This window comes from Homo sapiens, chromosome 2, assembly GCF_000001405.40.
Source record: "Homo sapiens chromosome 2, GRCh38.p14 Primary Assembly".
NCBI lineage: Eukaryota > Metazoa > Chordata > Mammalia > Primates > Hominidae > Homo > Homo sapiens.
In genome coordinates this window covers 171,382,439-171,401,621 of record NC_000002.12, presented here as the reverse complement: position 1 = coordinate 171,401,621, position 19,183 = coordinate 171,382,439, and the positions used below count along the sequence as shown (strand labels likewise).

The window sequence follows — 19,183 nt, the reverse complement described above, 5'->3', positions numbered from 1 at the left end:
AATCCCTTAGAGAAATAACTTCTGAGTCCCAGTTGCCTCTTTTTGTGTGAGTGAGTGTATCATGTAGCCACCATTCAGGGCAGTCATGGAGAACAAACGCTAAGCATGAAATTCCCATTTTGAAGCTGCAGAGTTACTGACGTCATAGTGTGATCAAAATGCTCTGCAAATACTTACTGTAATTATTGTTGTTGTTCTGTTCTTGCTAATAACCTTATTTATACCCTGAAATTATAATCATCCAAAGAAAGATTAAAACAAGATGCATGAGTTGCCTAAGCTGTTTGTCTGGCAGATGGTCACCCTCTGAGTTCGCTGAAATTGCCAGGGTTAATTGAAGCTTCAGTTTTCACTGCAGTGTAGTTGATACTTAAGTGTTTCTTACCTGTCAGCTTTTGCTCTCCAAAAAAGTACAACAGTAGCGCTTAATTTGTTCTCATTAATGCTAGCCTCTCAGGTAATGTTTAGTGCAACTTCATTCTAGATGATGTTTGCTTCCCAGCTTCCCAGCTGAGAAGAAATGCTAAACAGTTACAAAGGTGAAAACATGAACGTCTCACTAATTTACTTATTTAAAGGATACTCAGAACTCAGGAAACATTGAAGGGAAGTTAACTTTTACATGGTGGACTGGCATTTAGTGTATGGTTAATAGCAATTCCTCTCCCTGGGGTTGCAGTGAGCTGAGACAACTGGGAATCATCCTTGGGGAGTTTTACAAATAGTTTTTCCTAGAGCTAGCTAAGTGCTCCAAGGATAATCGTTATAGATTCACACAAACAGCAGTACTGTTTGCTCTATTTCTTTGGTGTTCCTCTAGTAGTATTAAAATGCAAGAAAGCAGTCTTAGGAACCATCTTAAAAAGCAATGGAACTAAGAAGCCGTTCTTTGCCTCTACTACTCAGCTCTGCAGAAGCAAACCGGTGAAAAGACGTGGGTGTTAAAATGTTACATTATTTAGGTGATGCAAGAGCCTTTTGTCTGCACCTTGAGGTTTGAGTACAGATTATACATATTGTTATGTATGGGTTCAGCACATATAGTAATATGACAAGCCAAATAAGAGAATGACTGTGCTTTCCTAAATCTGGGGACTGCTGACTACCAATGGCATTGCTTGCTATTTGATTAAGGCCCAAGAGAAAAACAGAGTTGAGAGATGAAGGGAGAGAAGGAATTCTGGGCCTCCTTAAATCAGTTACAACAAAATTAGCAACCCCATTAAAGACTGGGGAATCAGTAACATGATCCTTCTTGTATATGTGGTGTACAAAAGTAGAAGGCAAATGGGTGAATTATATGTATGTGAATAATAATGCTGTTCAAAAAAGCAAAAACAAAAACATCCAAAAAGGTAGAATGTGGATTCTTTAATTAGACTGCTTGGACTGGAATTGAATCTCTATCAATTTTTAGCTGGGTGACTTTAGGCCTGTTAGTTTACTTCGTCCTTTATAGGTTTTTTTCTTAAAATAGTACCCCTTGATAGGGAAATGGAAGCTAAATAAGATAATATACTGTATATAAGTGCTTAGGATAGGTCATCACACATGGTAAATATTTAACTTTTTTAAAAAAAAATGAAATTTACATGGAAGAGATATTGGAATTGGTGCTTTATTTCCTTTTATTTATTTATTTTTATTTTGAGATGAGGTCTCTCTATGTTGCCCAGGCTGATCTCAAACTCCTAGGCTCAAGCAATCCTCCTGCCTCAGCCTCCAAAAGTGCTGGGATTACAGGCATGAACCACTGTGCTCAGCCTTTACTTTCCAAAATATTTTTTCAATTTGCAAAATATACTATGGAGTCTTTCCTTTTATTAAAATCCTTCTTTAAAAAAAAGTATTACTCAAAACTATTGCTCCCCAAAAGCAAAATTTGCAGTTAAGAGGTATTTTGTCATGTGCATTACATACATTTTACCTATTCCTGTAGCATATGTTATAGTTTGTTGATATGGTCAGGCAGATGTATGAATCATTGTGAAAAGGATCCCATTTTAGTGGTAGGCAAAGCATCTAGCCAAAATTTGTAGCTGGGGAGAGATCTGCTCCCCATAAGTTGGCCTTCTGTATCAAGGCTGCTGCTTTTGCCACTATGCTCATTGTGGTGGTAGTCTGCTCAGGAAACTGGTAACTATTAAAACCACCTTCTCCTTGGCTTGTCATGGTTACTATGTATGCTGAACCCAAGTCCTTTTATACATTTGTTCTTTTCCTTACATTCTAAAATAGACACATACCTACCTACACCTAGAGCTGGCAGGAAGTCTGTCAGCTTTTCTTGGTATGCCTCTTTATACTTGGTAGCATAATAAATGCAATTTTTAATGACACTGTCAATCCAATACTTGAATGAGCTTCATTTCCTTTCTCGTCTGTTCCTTAGTGATTGCTTTAACCATTGCCTATTCATGACTGAGCCTTGGCATTAAGATCTCATAGGGGCATGGCCCTAAAGTCTTGCTTGTTCTGTTTCATTTTGGCCTTCTTAGGATTCAAGAGGAAGGACCTTCATAGGATGGTGAGCTGAAAATGGGAACCTGTGGGCAAAGTTGGTACAATATATACCTTTGATGTGACATTAATTTGAGTTAAGTGAAGGGTCAGGACCACGTTTTCAGATTTTTCACATAGTAAATTTTAAAAAACTGAAACACCTTATCAGGATTTGTGGAAATTTTTGTTGCCTTCTTCATACTTCATCCATTTCCAGAACTTTTTCATCTTCCCTAAATGAAACTCTTTATCTATTTATTTTTTACTTTTTTGGTATCTAGCTTCTCTTCTTTAATTGTATATATAAGGTACACAAGAAGATGTTTTAATGTACATATACACAGTGAAGTGGTTGCCATAGGCAAGCAGATTAACAATTGTATCTTCTCACATAGTTACCTTTGTGTGTATGTGTGGCAAGTGTACCTGAAATCTACTCTTTCAGCAAAAGTCCCAAATATAATACAATATTATTAACTGTAGTCCTCGTATTGTACATTAGATCTGTAGACGTGTTCATCCTACATATCTGCAACTTTGTATCCTTTGATCTACGTCTCCCCGTTTCCTCTCGCCCCTCCCCTATCCATTAAAAACTTAATTCCCCATTCCCCCTTCCCCAACCTCTGCCAAACACCACTCCACTTCCTGTCTCTATCGGTTTGACTACTCTAGGAACCTCATATAAGAGGAATCATACAATATCTATCCTTTTATGACTAGCTTATTTCACTTAGCATAATATCTTTAAGATTCATCCATGGTTGTACCATGTGTCAAAATTTCCTTTCTTTTTAAGGCTGGATAATGTTCCATTGTACATATATATGTATGTATGTATCACATTTTGTTTATCCATTTATCTTCAATGGACACGTGGGTTGCTTCTACCTTTTGTCTATTGTGAATGATGTTGCTATGAATATGGGTGTACAAATATCTCTTTGGTCTCTGCTTTCACTTCTTTTGGGTATATACCCAGAAGTAGAATTGCTGAATCATATGGTAATTGTATGTTTAATTTCTGAGGATTCACCATAATGTTTTTTCATAGCTGCTGTATCATTTTATGTTCCAATAGCAATGAATAAGGGCTCCAATTTCCTAATTTCTCCACATCCTCACCAATACTTGTTATATTCTGGGTTGTTGTTGCTGTTTTTAAATACCAGCCATCCTATTAGGTGTGCTGTTTGTTTTGATTTTAATTACAAATGTAATTAATAAATTTAGGGCTATTCAGATTTTCTCTTGTGTTATTTTGTTATTATTGGTAAGTTATGGTTTTCAAGGACTTTGTCCCATCTAATGAATGCAATAAAATTGTCCATAATATCCCAGTATTAGCTTTTCAATGTCTGTAAGGTCTGTGGTGATATCTCATTTTTCATTCCTATTATTGGAAGTTTGTGTTTTGTGAAACACATGTTTGATATCAGTCTTGCCAGAAGTTTATCAGTTTTATTAATCTTTCCAAAGAACTAACTTTTGACTTTGATTTTTCCCTGCTTTGCTCATTTTCCCTCCTTCCCTCTCTCTCTCTCTTTTTTTTTTTTTTTTTTTTTTGAGGCAGGGTTTTGCTCTGTCGCCCAGAATGCAGTGCAATAGCATGATCATAGTTCACTGCAGCCTTGAACTCCTGAACTCAAGTGATCCTCCCTCGTTGGCCTCCCAAGTAGCTGGGACTACAGGCACTGGCTAATTTTGTTTGTTTGAAGTTTTTTGTTGTTGTTGATGTTGTTTTTTTTTTTTTTTTTTTTTTTTTTTAGAGACAGGGTCTCACTATTTTGCCTAGGCTAGTCTCAAAGTCTTGGCCTCAAGCCATCTGCCCACCTTGACCTCCCTCCCAAAGCTCTGAGATTACAGACGTGAACTACCATGCCTGGCCCTGTTTTCTATTTCATTGCTTTCTGTTTTTATTTTTTATTATTTCCTTCTTTCTACTTACTTTGGGTCTAATTTATTCTTATTTTTCTAGCTTGTGAAGATAGAAGCTGAGGCCAGGCAAGATGGCTGATGCCTGTAATCCCAGCACTTTGGGAGGCTGAGGTGGGAGGATCCCTTGAGCCTAGGAGTTCAAGACTAGCCTGGGCAACATAGGGAGACCCTCTCTTAAAAAAAAAAAAAAAGTAGCCAGGTGTGGTGGTACATGCCTGTAGTACCAGCTACTTGGGAGGCCAAAGCAGGCCTATGAGCTATGATCGTGCCATTGCACTCTAGTCTGGGTGATAGAACAAGACCTTGTCTCAAAAAAGAAAAAAAAAAAAAGATAGAAGCTGAGATTATTGATTTGACATCTTTCTCTTTTGTAATAAAAATATGTAAAACTATAAATTTCTCTCTATACACTGCTTTAGTTGCATCCCATACATTTTGATATTTTCAGATTTTGTTATCATTCAGTTCAACATATTTTCTAATTTCTCTTCAGATTTGTTCTTTTACTCATAGGTTATTTATAGCTGTGTTGCTTAATTCCTTAACATTTGGAAATTTTTGTAGCTATCTTATTATTATTTTGAATTTGGATACAAAAGCAAGGATTGACAATATGCTGCCTATTAGAAAAGCACTGCCTATTAGAAAAGCACACAAATAGACTAAAATTTTTTTAAAAGATACACAGCATGCCATACATGACATTACATTAGACAATTGGTAGGGCTGTATTAATATCAGACAAAGTAGACCTCAAGAAAATGACTGTTACCAGAGATAAGAAGGGACATTTATTAATACAAGTTAATTCATCAAAATATTAACATTTAATATTATTATAGTCAAAAAGCACACTCTGTATGATTTTAATACTTTGGGATTTATTTTTATTTATTTATTTATTTATTTATTTATTCATTGAGACAGAGTCCCACTCTGTCACCCAGGCTGGAGTGCAGTGGCACAATCTCGGCTCACTGCAACCTCCGCCTCCTGGGTTCAAGTGATTCTTGTGCCTCAGCTGATTATAGGCACCCGCCACCATACCCAGCTAATTTTTTTTTGGATTTTTAGTAGAGATGGGGTTTCACCATGTTGGCCAGGCTGGTCTCAAACTCCTGACCTCAGGTGATCTGCCCGCCTCGGACTCCCAAAGTGCTGGTATTACAGGCATGAGCCACTGTGCCTGGCCAGCCAAATTTATCTATTTATTGAGACTTGTTTTATAGCCCAGCGTATGGTCTACCTTGGTGAATGTTCCATGTTCATTTGAAAAGAATGTGTATTCTTGCTATTGCTGTATGATGTTCTTTCTATAAATGTCATCTAGGTCAAGTTAATAATGTTCAAATCTTCTTTATCCTTTTTGATTTTTAGATAGCTTGTCGCTGGTTATTTTTCTATTTATTACTGGAAAAGGGTTGTTAAAATCTCCAAGTATTACTGTGAATTTGTTAAGTTCTCCTTTTAGAAAGTTCTGTCTTTTTGCTTTATTTATTTTACAGCTTTGTTATTAGGTACATGCATAGTTAAGACTGCTATGTTGTCTTGATGAATTGGCTTATTATCATTATTAAATGCCCCTCTTTATCTCTATAATAGTCTTTTCATTGAAGTCTACTTTGTCTATTAATATAGCCCCACCAGCTTTCTTATGCAGTGTTTGCATAGTATACCTTTTTTTACGTTAATCTATTTGTTTCTTTATATTTAAAGTGCTTGCCTTATAAACAGTATATTGCTGGGTCTTACTTTTTTTAATCCAAGTTAATAATCTGCTTTTTAATTGGAGCCCATTTATATTTATTGTAAGTATTGATATGGTTGGGTTTACATATGCTATCTTGGTATTTGTTTTCTATTTGTCCTATTTGTTTTTCATTCCTCTGTTCTTCCTTTCTTGCCTTCTTTTGGATGAATGGAATATTTTAAACTGTACCTCTTTGTGTTGTTTCAAATAAAAATACTACTTATTCACACAGTTTTGTTGTGCAATTATCTGAGTTAAACTGGTATTCAAATTAGAGTATGCCAAAAGAGAGCTAAGAGAAGGTACATAAAGGGATTGGGTCATTCTGGTGGCAGAAACCTACTTTTTCTACCACAATTTTATTTGGGGCTGGCCCTGCCCTTCTTTTCCCACAAAATTGAACCATGACCAGCAAACCTTAGGCTAACGTGGTAGTAATAATACAAAGCACATATTTGTTAATCATCGTAGTTAATTTAATTGGATAGCTACCTGTACATTGTCACATTCTTCTATCACTTCCTTCGCACTGCAAGGATCTTAATTAGGATCCACCCTGGAAAATATGAAGTAACTTCCATCCAATTAGATTTATGTCAGACAAATACCATTTTTATGTAATCAGTCAAACAATTCATGAGCAGCCTGGTGCTGCCTCTAGAAGCTTGCAATTTAAGTAAGAAGGCATTTATATAATTTTATTATGTATTTATATTATCTCCTATATACAGTTGTTATATATTTATGTAATAAGATAAATAGCAATGCAAGGCTGTGCATAACTGTTATAGATAAGCAAGTGAAATAAAGATGTTTGTGTGGTTAATTAAAGAAACAGCTGCCTAAGTAGGGAAATTGCCACATATTTAGACCCTGGCCACACCATGCTTTCTCCACAGACTAGCAGCCTGCAAGATTCACATTTCTCTGACATTTTCCTGAATTGCCTAATAATCCAATCTGGTTGTATCTTTTTGTCTCTGTCTACAGAGGCTCTTGGTCATTTATAGTGAGAGAAACTCTTACTTTTTTTTTTTCCCTCTTCTATATATAGATGAGTATAGATAAGTATCACGTGATTATTTAAAGGATTGAAATTCCATTTTGATTTGCCTTTCCTGGGTAGGAAACATTTACATCATTTTATACTTTTGAGCATGAATTGCCTCTCTTTCTAGGTGTAATCAATTTCTACTCTTCAGCATACAAAAGATTTTATGAATACTATTCACTGCAGAAAGAGCTCTAAAAATAATTTTGCAGGTAGGGTTTTATAGAACACTGATAGTCTTATGTGGAACATTGGCAGGCAAAAAGAACAAAGGCACATCAGGGTAAAGGTGGTGGTAGGTGGAGCATTTCATTTCATTTGCCTCCACCAAAGAGCTTGCATTTACTGGAGAAGGAAAACAAATAAGAAACAGGAGCATCTGCACTTGCTGTTGAAGGTTTCATTTCTTATCACTGTTAAGTCACATTTGAATGGAACCATTACAGTCTTGTTGGTATGTATAACTATGCCCCCACTTTTTTTTTCCAAAAGGAAAATCTTGAATTTTATGTTTAAAAGTACAAAGAGCTGTTTTTGACATTCTGCAGTTCATTTTGGAATTCACAGTCTTAAACCTATTCATTTTCAGTAGGGTGGTAAAGAGTGCACAGTATATGGCATTTTTACGCCTAATAGCACCTCCAATGATCTGTGATGCATATTACATACACACACCTTTTAGCATCTGTTTCCACCTGACAGCTGACAGCATTAGGCTGAATGTTGTGATGAACAACTGAAATGTCAAGCAGTATTACAATGGTTTCTTATTGGAAAAAGTAAGCACCTTAGAGCTTCTTTTTAATACTTTTCCATAAAGATTTTAAAGTGACATATTTACAAGTACATAATTAAGATGACATACTCTTTAAATGCTTGTTATTCTTCCAGAAATGGAGATGGATTTGGGCTAATCAGCAGATGATTCTCCTCTTGAGCTAGGGTATAAGCATGCTTTTTTTTTTTTTTTTTTGCTTTTTTATAAGACAGAGTCTTGCTCTATGACCCAGGCTGGAATGCAGTGGCATGATCATGGCTCACTACAGCTTCAGCCTCTAGGCTTGGCCTCTCGTGTAGCTGGAACCACAGATGTGCACCATCACCCCTAATTTTTTTTTATTTTTTGAAGAAACGGTCTCACTATGTTGCCCAGGCTGGTCTCTAACTCTTGGACTCAAGTAACTCTCTCACCTTGGCCTCCCAAAATGTTGGGATTATAGGCATGAGCCACTGCAGCTGGCCTTAAGCATGCATTTTTGTTTTGTTTTGTTTGTTTTGAGACAGAGTCTTATTCTGTTGCCCAGGCGGGAGTGCAATGACACAATCTCGGCTCACTGCAATCTCCGCCTCCTGGGTTCAAGCGATTCTCTTGCCTCAGCCTCCAAGTAGCTGGGATTACAGGAATTCACATCACTCCTGGATAATTTTTTTTTTTTTTGTATTTTTAGTAAAGATGGGGTTTTCCTATGTTGGCCAGGCTGGTCTCGAACTCCTGACCTCAAGTGACCCACCTGCCTCGGCCTGCCAAAGTGCTGGGATTACAGGCATGAGCCACCATGCCTGGCAAAGCATGCATTTTGTTCAGGAAAATCTATTTTGCATCCATATTACTGACTATTCTTAAAAATATATGTATACAGGATTGTTAGAATTAATAATTGCTAAGATTCTGTCTTAATATTTATTTATTTGACTGATTTTCATATTATTCAGTTCAGCACGGAGAATGAGAGTTACAGGTTTGTTTTCTTATTCTTCTGCCATACTTGGGATTTTTGTCTAGTGGTCACAAAATATTTCCTAGAAATATATTTTCCTAGAATTACCCCCCAAAAAATAAAATTACTTTAAAAAAAATCTGTCTTTAGTACACAAATTCAGACATGCTTTGATCATGTGCTAAAAATTAAATAAGCAAATAAAATATCGAACAAAGCAAAGTTGGTCAAGGCTATGGCTTCAAAAAAATGCCAGCCAGTGTTGCCCACCCTAAATATTTCTCTCCCATCTCTTGGCCTGAATATACTTCAGGAGAGAAGCTGTTATGCTCATCTTTCATTAAAAAGTTTCTAGTTTTCATGTGCATTCTCAGATTGAAAACCTTTAGAACCAGGTTTTGGGTATTAGATAAACAATACACTGTTTAATCTATGTTGACTAATTAATCATTTGTAACTTTTTAGGTACTGCTTAGGATGAATATGATTTGGAGAAATTCCATTTCTTGTCTAAGGCTAGGAAAGGTGCCACACAGATACCAAAGTGGTTACCACCCAGTGGCCCCTCTGGGATCAAGGATTTTAACTGACCCAGCCAAAGTTTTTGAACACAACATGTGGTGAGTTTTCTTTTTAAATCTGATATTATGTGTGTTTCTTAAATATCACCAGTGGTATTATTTTCATTTAGAATTAAGAAAGGGTTTTTAAAGCTGATGACCTAACTCATGTTGTAGAGGTCCAAAAGCTAGGGTAACCGATCCTGACTTAAGTGTTGCTGATTCTGAATTTCATTGCAAATGGAATTGGAAGAGTGAAACTTTCCATATGCTTTTAGTAGCCTTGGAGTTCTTGCAGGCCCTTCCTACTTACCTCTGATCCTGATTTGCCTGCTGTCACTGGGTGGGGGTGAGGATTCTTTCCTAGGTGGGGCCCTCCTCCTGCTCCACAGTTCCTTCCCTCTTTTTCATACTTGTCATCCAGCAAATGCAGATCAGTACCTGTGTCTTACTGAGCACCAGGGAGATCATATTGGTATGATTCTCGTCTATGCTTTCAGGGAATCCACCCTATTTGGAAAGATAGATATTTACAGAAAAAGCTGATAATTACCCCTACAAGGCAGTAAATTGTGAGGGCTCAATGAGTGTTACAGACTATATGCCATATGAGAACAACTCAGTAATGCAAAAACACTTCTGTTTGGGCATAGTCAGAAAGATTTCTTAAAGTGAGGGAAACTGAGATTACGATTACAGGCACACCTCAGAAATGTTGTAGGTTTGGTTGAGACCACTGCAGTAAAGCAAATATTGCAATAAAGTGAGTCACACAATTTTTTTGGTTTCCCAGTGCATATAAAAGTTATGTTTACACTATACTGTAGTCTCTTAAGTGTACAATAGCATTATGTCTAAGAAAACAGTGTACAAACCTAATTAAAAAGTAATTTCTTGCTAAAAAATGCTAACAGTCATCTGAGCCTTCAGTGAGTCATAATCTTTTTGTTGGCAGAGGGTCTTACCTCAGTGTTGATGGCTGCTGACTGATCAGGGTGGTGGTTGGAGTGGCTGTGGCAGTTTCTTAAAATAAGACAACAATGGAGTTTGCATCATCAACTGACTCTCCCTTTCATGAAAGATTTCTCTGTAGCATGTGATGCTGTTTGATAGCATTTTACCTACAGTAGAACTTTCAAAATCAGTCAGTCCTCACAGATCCTGCCACTGTTTTATCAACTAAGTGTATGTAATATTCTAAATATTTTGTTTAATATTTAGAATTTTGTCTAAATTCTTTGTTGTCTAAATTATGTCTAAATTCTTTGTTGTCTAAATTATGTCTAAATTCTTTGTTGTGATTTCCACAGTGTTCACACTGTCTTCACCCCAAGTAGATTCCATCTCAAGAAACTACTTTCTTTGCTCATCCCTACAAAGGAACTCCTCATCTGTTCAAGTTTTATCATGAGATTGCAGCAATTCAGACTAAATCTTTAGGCCCCACTTTTAATTCTAGTTCTCTTGCTGTTTCCACCATATCTGCCGTTACTTTTTCCACTGAAGTCTTGAACCCCTTATCATCCATTAGAATCAACTTCTTCCAAACTCCTATTGATGTTATTATTTTGACCTCCTCCCATGAATCACAAATGTTCTTAATGGCATGTAGATTGGTGAATCCTTTCCAGAGTGTTTTCAGTTTACTTTGCCCAGATCCACTAGAGGAATTACTATTTATGGCAGCTATAGCTTTACGAAATGTAGTTCTTAAATAAGACTTGAAAGTTGAAATTACTTCTTGATCCAAGGGCTGCAGAATGGATATTGTGTTAGTTGGCATGAAAGCAACATTAATATCCTTGTACATTTCCATCAGAACTCTGGAGTGACAAGGTATATTGTCAGTGAGCAGTAGTATTTTGCAAGGAATTCTTTTTTCTGAGCATTAGGTCTCCACAGTGGGCTTAAAACATTCAGTAAACCATGCTATAAACAGATGTGTTGTCATCCAGGCTTTGTTGTTTCATTTATAGAGTATAGGCAGAGTAGATTCAGTATAATTTTTAAGGGCCCTAGGATTTTGGGAATAGTAAATAAGCACTGGCTTCAACTTAAAGTCACCAACTGCCTTAGCCCTTAACAGGAGAGTCAGCCTGTCCTTTGAAGCTTTGAAGCCAGGCATTGACTTCTCCTTTCTGGCTATGAAAGTCTTAGATGACATCTTCTTCCAATAGAAAGCTGTTTTATTTACATTGAAAGTTTGTTTTTTAGTGTAACCACCTTCATCAGTGATCTTAGCTGGATCTTCTGGATAACTCGATGCTACAGCTTCTCCATCAGCACTTACTGCTTTGCTTTGTACTTTTATGCTATGGAGATGTCTTCTTTCCTTAAACCTCATGAACCAACCTCCACTAGCTTCACTTTTCTTCTGCAGCTACCTCATCTCTGTGAGCCTTCATAGAGTCAAAGAAAGTTAGGGCCTTGCTCTGGATTAGGCTTTGGCTTATGGGAATATTGTGGCTGGTTTTATCTTTTATGCAGACCACTAAACCTTTCTCCATATCAGTAATGCTATTTCACTTTCTTTTCATTCATGTATTCACTGGAGCAGCATTTTTTTTTTTTTTTTTTTTTTTTTTTTTGTGAGACAGGGAGACTCTGTCACCCAAGCTGGAGTGCAGTGGTGTGGTCACGGTTCACTGAACCTTCACCTGGGTCAAGTGATTCTCTGGCCTCAGCCTCCCAAGTAGCTGGGACTATAGGCATTCACTGCCATGCCTGGCTAATTTTTGTATTTTTTGTAGAGATGGGGTTTCACCATGTTGCCCAGGCTGGCCTTGAACTCCTGAGCTCAAGTGATCTTTCCAACTCAGCCTCCCAAAGTGCTGGGATTACAGGTGTGAGCCATAGCACTCAACCTGGAGTAGCATCTTTAATTTCCTTTAAGAACTTTTCCTTTGCATTTCACAAGTTGACTAGTGCTAGAGGCCTAGGTTTTGTCCTATCTCAGCTTGCAAAAGGCCTTCCTCACTAAGCTTAATCTTTTCTAGCTTTTGATTTAAAATGAGATATATATAACTATTCCTTTCATTTGAACACGTAGAGGCCATTGTAGGGTAATCAACTGGCCTCATTTCATTATTGTTTTGTCTCAGGGAGTAGGGGAACCTGAGGAGAGGGAAATAGACAGGGAAAGCCAGGTCAGTGGAGCAGTCAGAACACACATAACATTTATCAATTAAATTAGCTGTTTTATATGGATATGGTTCATGGTACTCTAAAACAATTACAATAGTAACATCAAAGATCACTGATCACAGCTCATAACAGATATAATAATAATGAAATAGTTTGAAATATTGCAAGAATTACCAAAATGTAACAGAGACATGAAATGAGCACATGCTGTTGGAGAAATGGTGCCAATAGACTTGCTCAATGCAGGGTTGCCACAAACCTTCAATTTGTAAAAAATGCAATAGCTGTGAAGTGTGATCAAGCAAAGCATAATTATACAAGATATGCCTGTATTTATATTGCCTGCAGTACATAGCACAATGCCTGACACACAAATATTGTTGAATTAATGCTTTGAATAGGTAAACTGAAATAAGGGCATTCTAGGTGGATAGAAAATCATAAAGCACTGAGATGAGGAAATATAAGGCATTTTCATGAGATAGAGGATAGGATAGTTTGCCTTAAGAAAGGCTTTTCTAGGAGATTGGTGAAAGATAAGGTTGGAATGACATAGGCCAGATGGGGGGTAGGTTTAAGATGTGCATGGTCCTGAATTCATAGCTGAAGTATAAGGCATTATAGAGCCACTGAAGATAAATAAATGACATTATATTTAGTGTATTAAGTGTATATATTTGGTAACACCATGCTAGACTGATCAGCAGGAAGAATTAGAAGCAGAAAAGGGCCAGTGAGCAAGAGATCGTGACAGAAGAATAAACAGAATTTGGTGCTTGTGCAGAGTAAAGAAAAAGGAAGAAGTTGACTCTGAAGTTTTGATCTTAAGTAACTGATAGAAATAGGAAAATCAAGAGGTAAATGTATTTGTTTTATTTTGGAAGAAAGATGGTTAATTTGGTTTTAGACATTTTGAATAATAGGCTTTGTGAGCAGGACATTCAGGTGTAAATGTCCAGCACGCAGACACTGCTGCTGGGAAGAGGGAGAGTGGTCAGAGCTGAAGAAGTCAAGTTGGGCATGATATCTGCAGACAAAATTGTTATCAGACTAGCCTCTGGAACAGCATCTCTGGGGCTAGGAAGGTGATTCATGGGCTTTTTATGTTTTTATTGCAACCGAATCTCAATTTTGAAAGGGAATACATTGATTTTTTAATTAATTAGTTCTACACTATACAATATGGTAGTCACTAGCCACAGGTGGTTATTCAGCACTTGAAATATATTAATAACTGGGCTGAATTGAGATGTACTGTAAAATTTTAAAAACTTAGTACAAAAAATAAGGTAAACAATCTCAATTTTTATATTGAATTATATGTTAAAAGTGAATGAAAATTTGGATATATGCAATTAAATTATATATATATGCACATACATACATATATATATTTAAAAAAAAATTTTTTTTTTAATTTTTTTTAAATAAGACAGAGTCTCGCTCTGTCGCCCTGGCTGGAGTGCAGTGATTCAATCTCAGCTCACTGCAACCTCTGCCTCCCAGGTTCAAGCAATTCTCCTGCCTCAGCCTCCTGAGTATCTGGGATTATAAACATGCACCACTGAAAGGGAAAAAGCTCCTATGTCCCCCTCGCTGGATGTGCGATGGGGGTGTGGCTCACTTCTTCAGTGCCCCGCTGCTCAGACCTCTAGGGGAGCATACAGATGGGCAGGCTGTGGGGCTCCTACCCCATGACAGTGTATAGGGGTGAGTGTTTACAGCTCCTGAAGTCCCAGTGAGCGCGTGTTACAGGGTGCTCTTTTAGTTTAGCCATGCATAGGCAGCTTGTGTTAGCTCAGTTATACCCCTGCCTTATCGTAAAGACAGATTTCTGTATCCCAGGGTTCTTGCCTTGGTGTATGGGAAGAATCGGATCACTTATGAGCTTGGAGAATGAGTGCAAGGTTTTACTGAGTGGAAGTAGCTCTCAGCAGATTGGGGAGTCAGAAGGGAGATGGTTTTCCCCTGGAGTCGGACCGCTAGGTGGACTGGGCTCTCCTCTGGCTGCCCTAGCCAAATGTCGTTCTGCTGGTGGGTGGCCTGCTGGTGTGCTGGTGCCTCCTGATGTGCTTCTCGCCATGTCCAGCCACCTGTGTGTCTGCCTGCTGGGGTCTGGGGGGAGGGGATTGTTTATAGGCATAGGATCGGGGCGTGGCAGGCCAGGGCGGTCTTGGGAAAATACAACATTTGGGCAGGAAATGCCTGTCCTCACCTAGGTTCATGTGGGTGGAGCCCTAGCCAGGGACCACGTCCTCCTCTAAGTAGCGCTTCCCTTCCCCGCTTCTGTATCATTTAAAGGGACCACACTCTTCCCTTCCATATTGCCACCACGCCCAGCTAATTTTTGTATTTTTTGTAGAGACAAGGTTTCGCTGTGTTGGCCAGGCCGGTCTCGCACTCCTGACCTCAGGTGAACTGCCTACCTCGGACTCCCAAAGTACTGGGATTACAGGCGTGAGCCACTGTGCCTGGCCTAAATAAAATATATTTTTAAAATTGGTTTCACCTCTTTATTTTCATTTTTCCTTACCATGGCTACTAGAAATTTTAAAACTACGTATGTAGTTCACATTATACTTTTTTGGACAGCTGCTCCATTAAACCATTTTCACTACCATCACCAATATGGATAGTTATCACAGGCTATGAGATAAAATGGGCCCTTTGCCAGGCAATTAAATCTCCAGAGCAACTTCTGATCTTAGGCAAGCTCCTCATTTATCAATTTTTTTTGTTTTCTTCATTAGACCCTAGTGATTTAGCTATCTATATTCTCTTTTTCCATCTGCTACCACCTGCTCTCTTGCCTGAGATTCTTGCCTACTGATTTAAGTTCTGTTTTGTCATAGACTCAGGAAAGCAAGGATCATCTGGTCCAGCACTCCTCAAACACACGGGCTAGCTTTGGGCTGGCTGCACAAGAATCCTTCTGGGAGTTACTATTTCAGTAGGTCTAGAGGTATGGCCCAGGAATTTCTAACTTGAAAAGGCTCTTTTAGTTATTCTGTTGAGGAGCCAGGTTTGGGAACCCTTGATCCAGTCCAGTGGTTTTTATAATTTTCTTTAGCAACAGAACTATTTTCAAGTGAAGCTTTAACATGGAATCCTAGGATTTAAAAGATAAAAGCAAACCTGACCTGAATGAATTAGGCATAGAGGCCTGGAGCATCAACAGCACCACTTCCTTTTCCCTCTCACCTCTCTTCACTTACTCTAGCAGCCAAGAGGACCCTTAGGGCTCTGTTATTCAGTTTGAAAAACATTGATCTAGTCTAGACAGCCATCCATCTTCATAGCATACCCCCCAAGGGGTTGGCCAGTCTGCACCCGACACCTGTGGTGAACTCTCTACCAACACAGATACATACTGTAAGAGCAGCAATAAAAACTTTCACCCAGGGAAGAGGAAGGTAGTTGATTCACATTATCTTCCCACACACCTTTTTTACATTTTTTTCTTCTTAAGGAGAAGATGTGTAAATTAAACGAAACCTGGTTTGTTCTCCCCATCCTTCAAGTCCAAAATTCTGTTCAGAAGTTTTTGTTTTCTTCCTTATTTTCTCCTTTATATTTAAGAATAGTGTTTCCTCTCTTGCTGAATTTGATTTTTTTTTTTTTTGAGACAGGGTCTTGCCCTGTCACCCAGGCTGAAGTACAATGGCACTATAATGGCTAATTTTTAATTTTGTTTTATTTTATTTTTTTTAGAGAGGGGGGGTCTTGCCATGTTGCCCAGGCTGGTCTTGAACTCCTGGCCTCAAGCAGTCCTCCTGTGTTGGCCTCCCAAAATGCTGGGATTACAGGCATGAGCCACCACACCTAGCCTGAATTTGATTTTTTAAAGATGTTTCTAGAAAAGCATATGCCAGTTTTCTCTCAGAGGTGTTGCTCAGAATTATCTACAGTTCATTTTTCCATTTAGCCTTTGGTTTTAAGGATTATTTACTCTCTATATGACCATATTTTTTTTTAATTTTAAGAAAAAATAAAGATACTCTTTTTTATTTAGTTTCTAATATGCTGAGAAAGATTTGCCTTCCAGATTCTGGGTATTTGTATTACTAGTACTTATATCTGCCTATAGTCTTTTACTTATTTACTTACTTTATTAATTAATTAATTTAAAGACAGCATCTTGCTCTGTCACCTAGACTGGAGTGCAGTGGCATGATCACAGCTCATTGCAGTTTTGACCTCCTAGGCTCAAGTGATCCTCCTGCCTCAGTCCCCCAAGTAGCTGAGATTACAGGTGTGTGCTACCCACACCTGGCTAATTTTTTATTTTTTTTGTAGAGGTGGGGTCTCACTATGTTGCCCAGACTGGTCTGGAACTCCTAGGCTGAAGCAGTCCTCCTGCCTCAGCCTCCTAAAGTGCTGAGATTACAGGAATGAGCTACCACAGTTGGTCTAGTCTTTCATTTTTTGTCTGTTTGTTTGTTTGCTTATTTGAGACAGTCTTGCCCTGTCACCCAGACTGGAGTGCAGTGGCACGGTCACAGCTCACTGCAGCCTCGACCACCTGGGCTCAAGTGATCCTCCCACCTCAGCCTCCCAAGTAGCTGGTACTACAGGCGTGTGTCACCATGGCTAGCTAATTTTTTTGTATTTTTAGTATACATGGGGTTTCACCATGTTGCCCATGCTGGTCTTGAACTCCTGGGCTCGAGTGATCCACCTGCCTCAGCCTCCCAATGTGCTGGGATTACAGACGTTTAAGTCTCCGCACCCAGCCATTCTGGATATTTCATAGACATGGAATCATACAATGCGACCTTTTATGTCTGACTTCTTTCACTTATGTCTTGGAGGGTCATATACCTTGCAGCATGTATTGGCACTTTGTTCTTTTTATGGCTGAATGATATTCCATTGTTTGTATACATCACAGTTGGTTTATTCATTCATCTACTGATAGACATTTGGGCTGTTCCCCTGTTTTGCCTCTTGTGAATAGTTCTGCTATGAACATGGGTGAACTATGTTCTTGTTTGTGTCCCTGCTTTCATTTCTTTGGAATATATACCTAAGAGTGGAATTGCAGGGTCATGTGGTAATTCTGTGTTTAAGTTTTTGAGAAACTCAAATTGTTTTCCACAGTGACTGAACCATTTTACATTTTGCCTATTGTCTTTTAATTATACTTAGTACATTTATCAATTTTGGAGGGTGATGACAGGAAACGATTTTCAAAATGCTTTTGAGACATGGCCCAGAGATCTGTCTATATTGAGCAACTTACACAGTTACTTGGAAAAATCATTCCTTATTCACAATGTTCTTGGTTTAAGCATATAGAAACTTTTCAAGGGATCTCGGCCATTTATAAGTAAGCACTAAGCACTTGTTTTACATGACTACATCAGCTAGGCCATTGGCATGCTCCCAGTAAGAAACACACTTTCCATCATGGACCAGCACATGTGTACATAACATATACACATATATAAAACAGGAACAAAAGTTTCCAGTACAGTTTTTACCATGGGAGGTGTGCATCTAGTATTTTCCATTTATTTTATTCTACCCTGTTTCTATTTCTTTATTCAAGGGTTGCTTAGAGTAACTAAATTGATTTCATGACTCACCAAGGTTTATGACCTTCAGTTTAAAAACACTGAGCTAAGCCGTTTTCTGTAGATCCAAGGTAAGACTGTGTGTTGCAATGTGATTTCTATTATGTAACCCACTTAAATAATAGACAGTTTACAGAATCTCAATGGGGTTCATATCCCAAGAATTCTTCATTATATAATTTTCCTTATATAAAAATTATACTTATCATCTGATTCCTCTTGCCCTGTTTCATATATGGTTCTTTTTGTTTTTTACATGTTCAGTACACATGTGTGTTTTTTGGGGTTTTTGTGTTTGTTTGTTTTTTTCACACAGAGTCTTGCTCTGTCGCCCAGACTGGAGTGCAGTGGCTCGATCTCAGCTCACTGCAAACTCCGCCTCTCAGGTTCAAGTGATTCTCCTGCCTCAGCCTCCCAAGTAGCTGGGATTACAGGCGCCCGCCACCACACCTGGCTAATTTTTTGTATTTTTAGTAGAGATGGGGTTTCATCATGTTGGCCAGGATGGTCTTGAACTGCTGACCTCGGGTGATCCACCCACCTCAGCCTCCCAAGGTGCTGGGATTACAGGCGTGAGCCACCGCGTCTGGCCCAGATGTGTGTTTTTTGTTTGTTTGTTTTTTTGTAGTTTTCTTTTCTTTTTTTCTTTCTTTTTTTTTAAATTTTACTTTGAGTTCCGGGATACATGTGCAGAATGTGCAGGTTTGTTACATAGGCATACATGTGCCATGGTGGTTTGCTGCATCTGTCAACCCGTCATCTAGGTTTTAGGCGTTGCATGCATTAGGGATTTGTCCTAATGCTGTCTCTCCCCTTGCCCTCCACCCCTGGACAGGCCCCTGTGTATGTTGTTCCCCTGCCTGTGTCCATGTGTTCTCATTGTTCAACTCCTACTTATGAGTGAGAACATGCAGTGTTTGGTTTTCTATTCCTGCGTTAGTTTG

The 19,183-nt window shown here is 38.4% G+C and overlaps 1 protein-coding gene across 11 annotated transcripts in view, besides 2 other annotated features; it reads left to right on the top strand.

Moving 5' to 3' along the window:
• Positions 1–19,183, top strand: part of METTL8 (methyltransferase 8, tRNA N3-cytidine) — a 119,027-nt gene that overhangs the window by 33,151 nt on the left and 66,693 nt on the right. For 6 of the 11 annotated variants that reach the window (NM_024770.5, NM_001321157.2, NM_001321154.2 and 3 more), the window contains one exon: positions 9,425–9,579. The exons of the other annotated variants lie outside the window; for them this stretch is intronic. In NM_024770.5, coding sequence (NP_079046.2) covers positions 9,437–9,579 — 143 coding nt within the window. In that variant the 5' untranslated portion in view covers positions 9,425–9,436. The remainder of the gene's footprint in view (positions 1–9,424; positions 9,580–19,183) is intronic. 11 annotated transcript variants of the gene reach the window in all.
• Positions 14,089–14,673: an enhancer, noted in NCBI's record as "H3K27ac-H3K4me1 hESC enhancer chr2:172243459-172244043 (GRCh37/hg19 assembly coordinates)". NCBI's record gives its function as "activates a minimal SCP1, AML or CMV promoter by ChIP-STARR-seq in naive H9 embryonic stem cells {active_cell/tissue: H9 hESC(naive)}" and the evidence as "EXISTENCE:reporter gene assay evidence [ECO:0000049][PMID:30033119]".
• Positions 14,674–15,258: an enhancer, noted in NCBI's record as "H3K27ac-H3K4me1 hESC enhancer chr2:172242874-172243458 (GRCh37/hg19 assembly coordinates)". NCBI's record gives its function as "activates a minimal SCP1, AML or CMV promoter by ChIP-STARR-seq in naive H9 embryonic stem cells {active_cell/tissue: H9 hESC(naive)}" and the evidence as "EXISTENCE:reporter gene assay evidence [ECO:0000049][PMID:30033119]".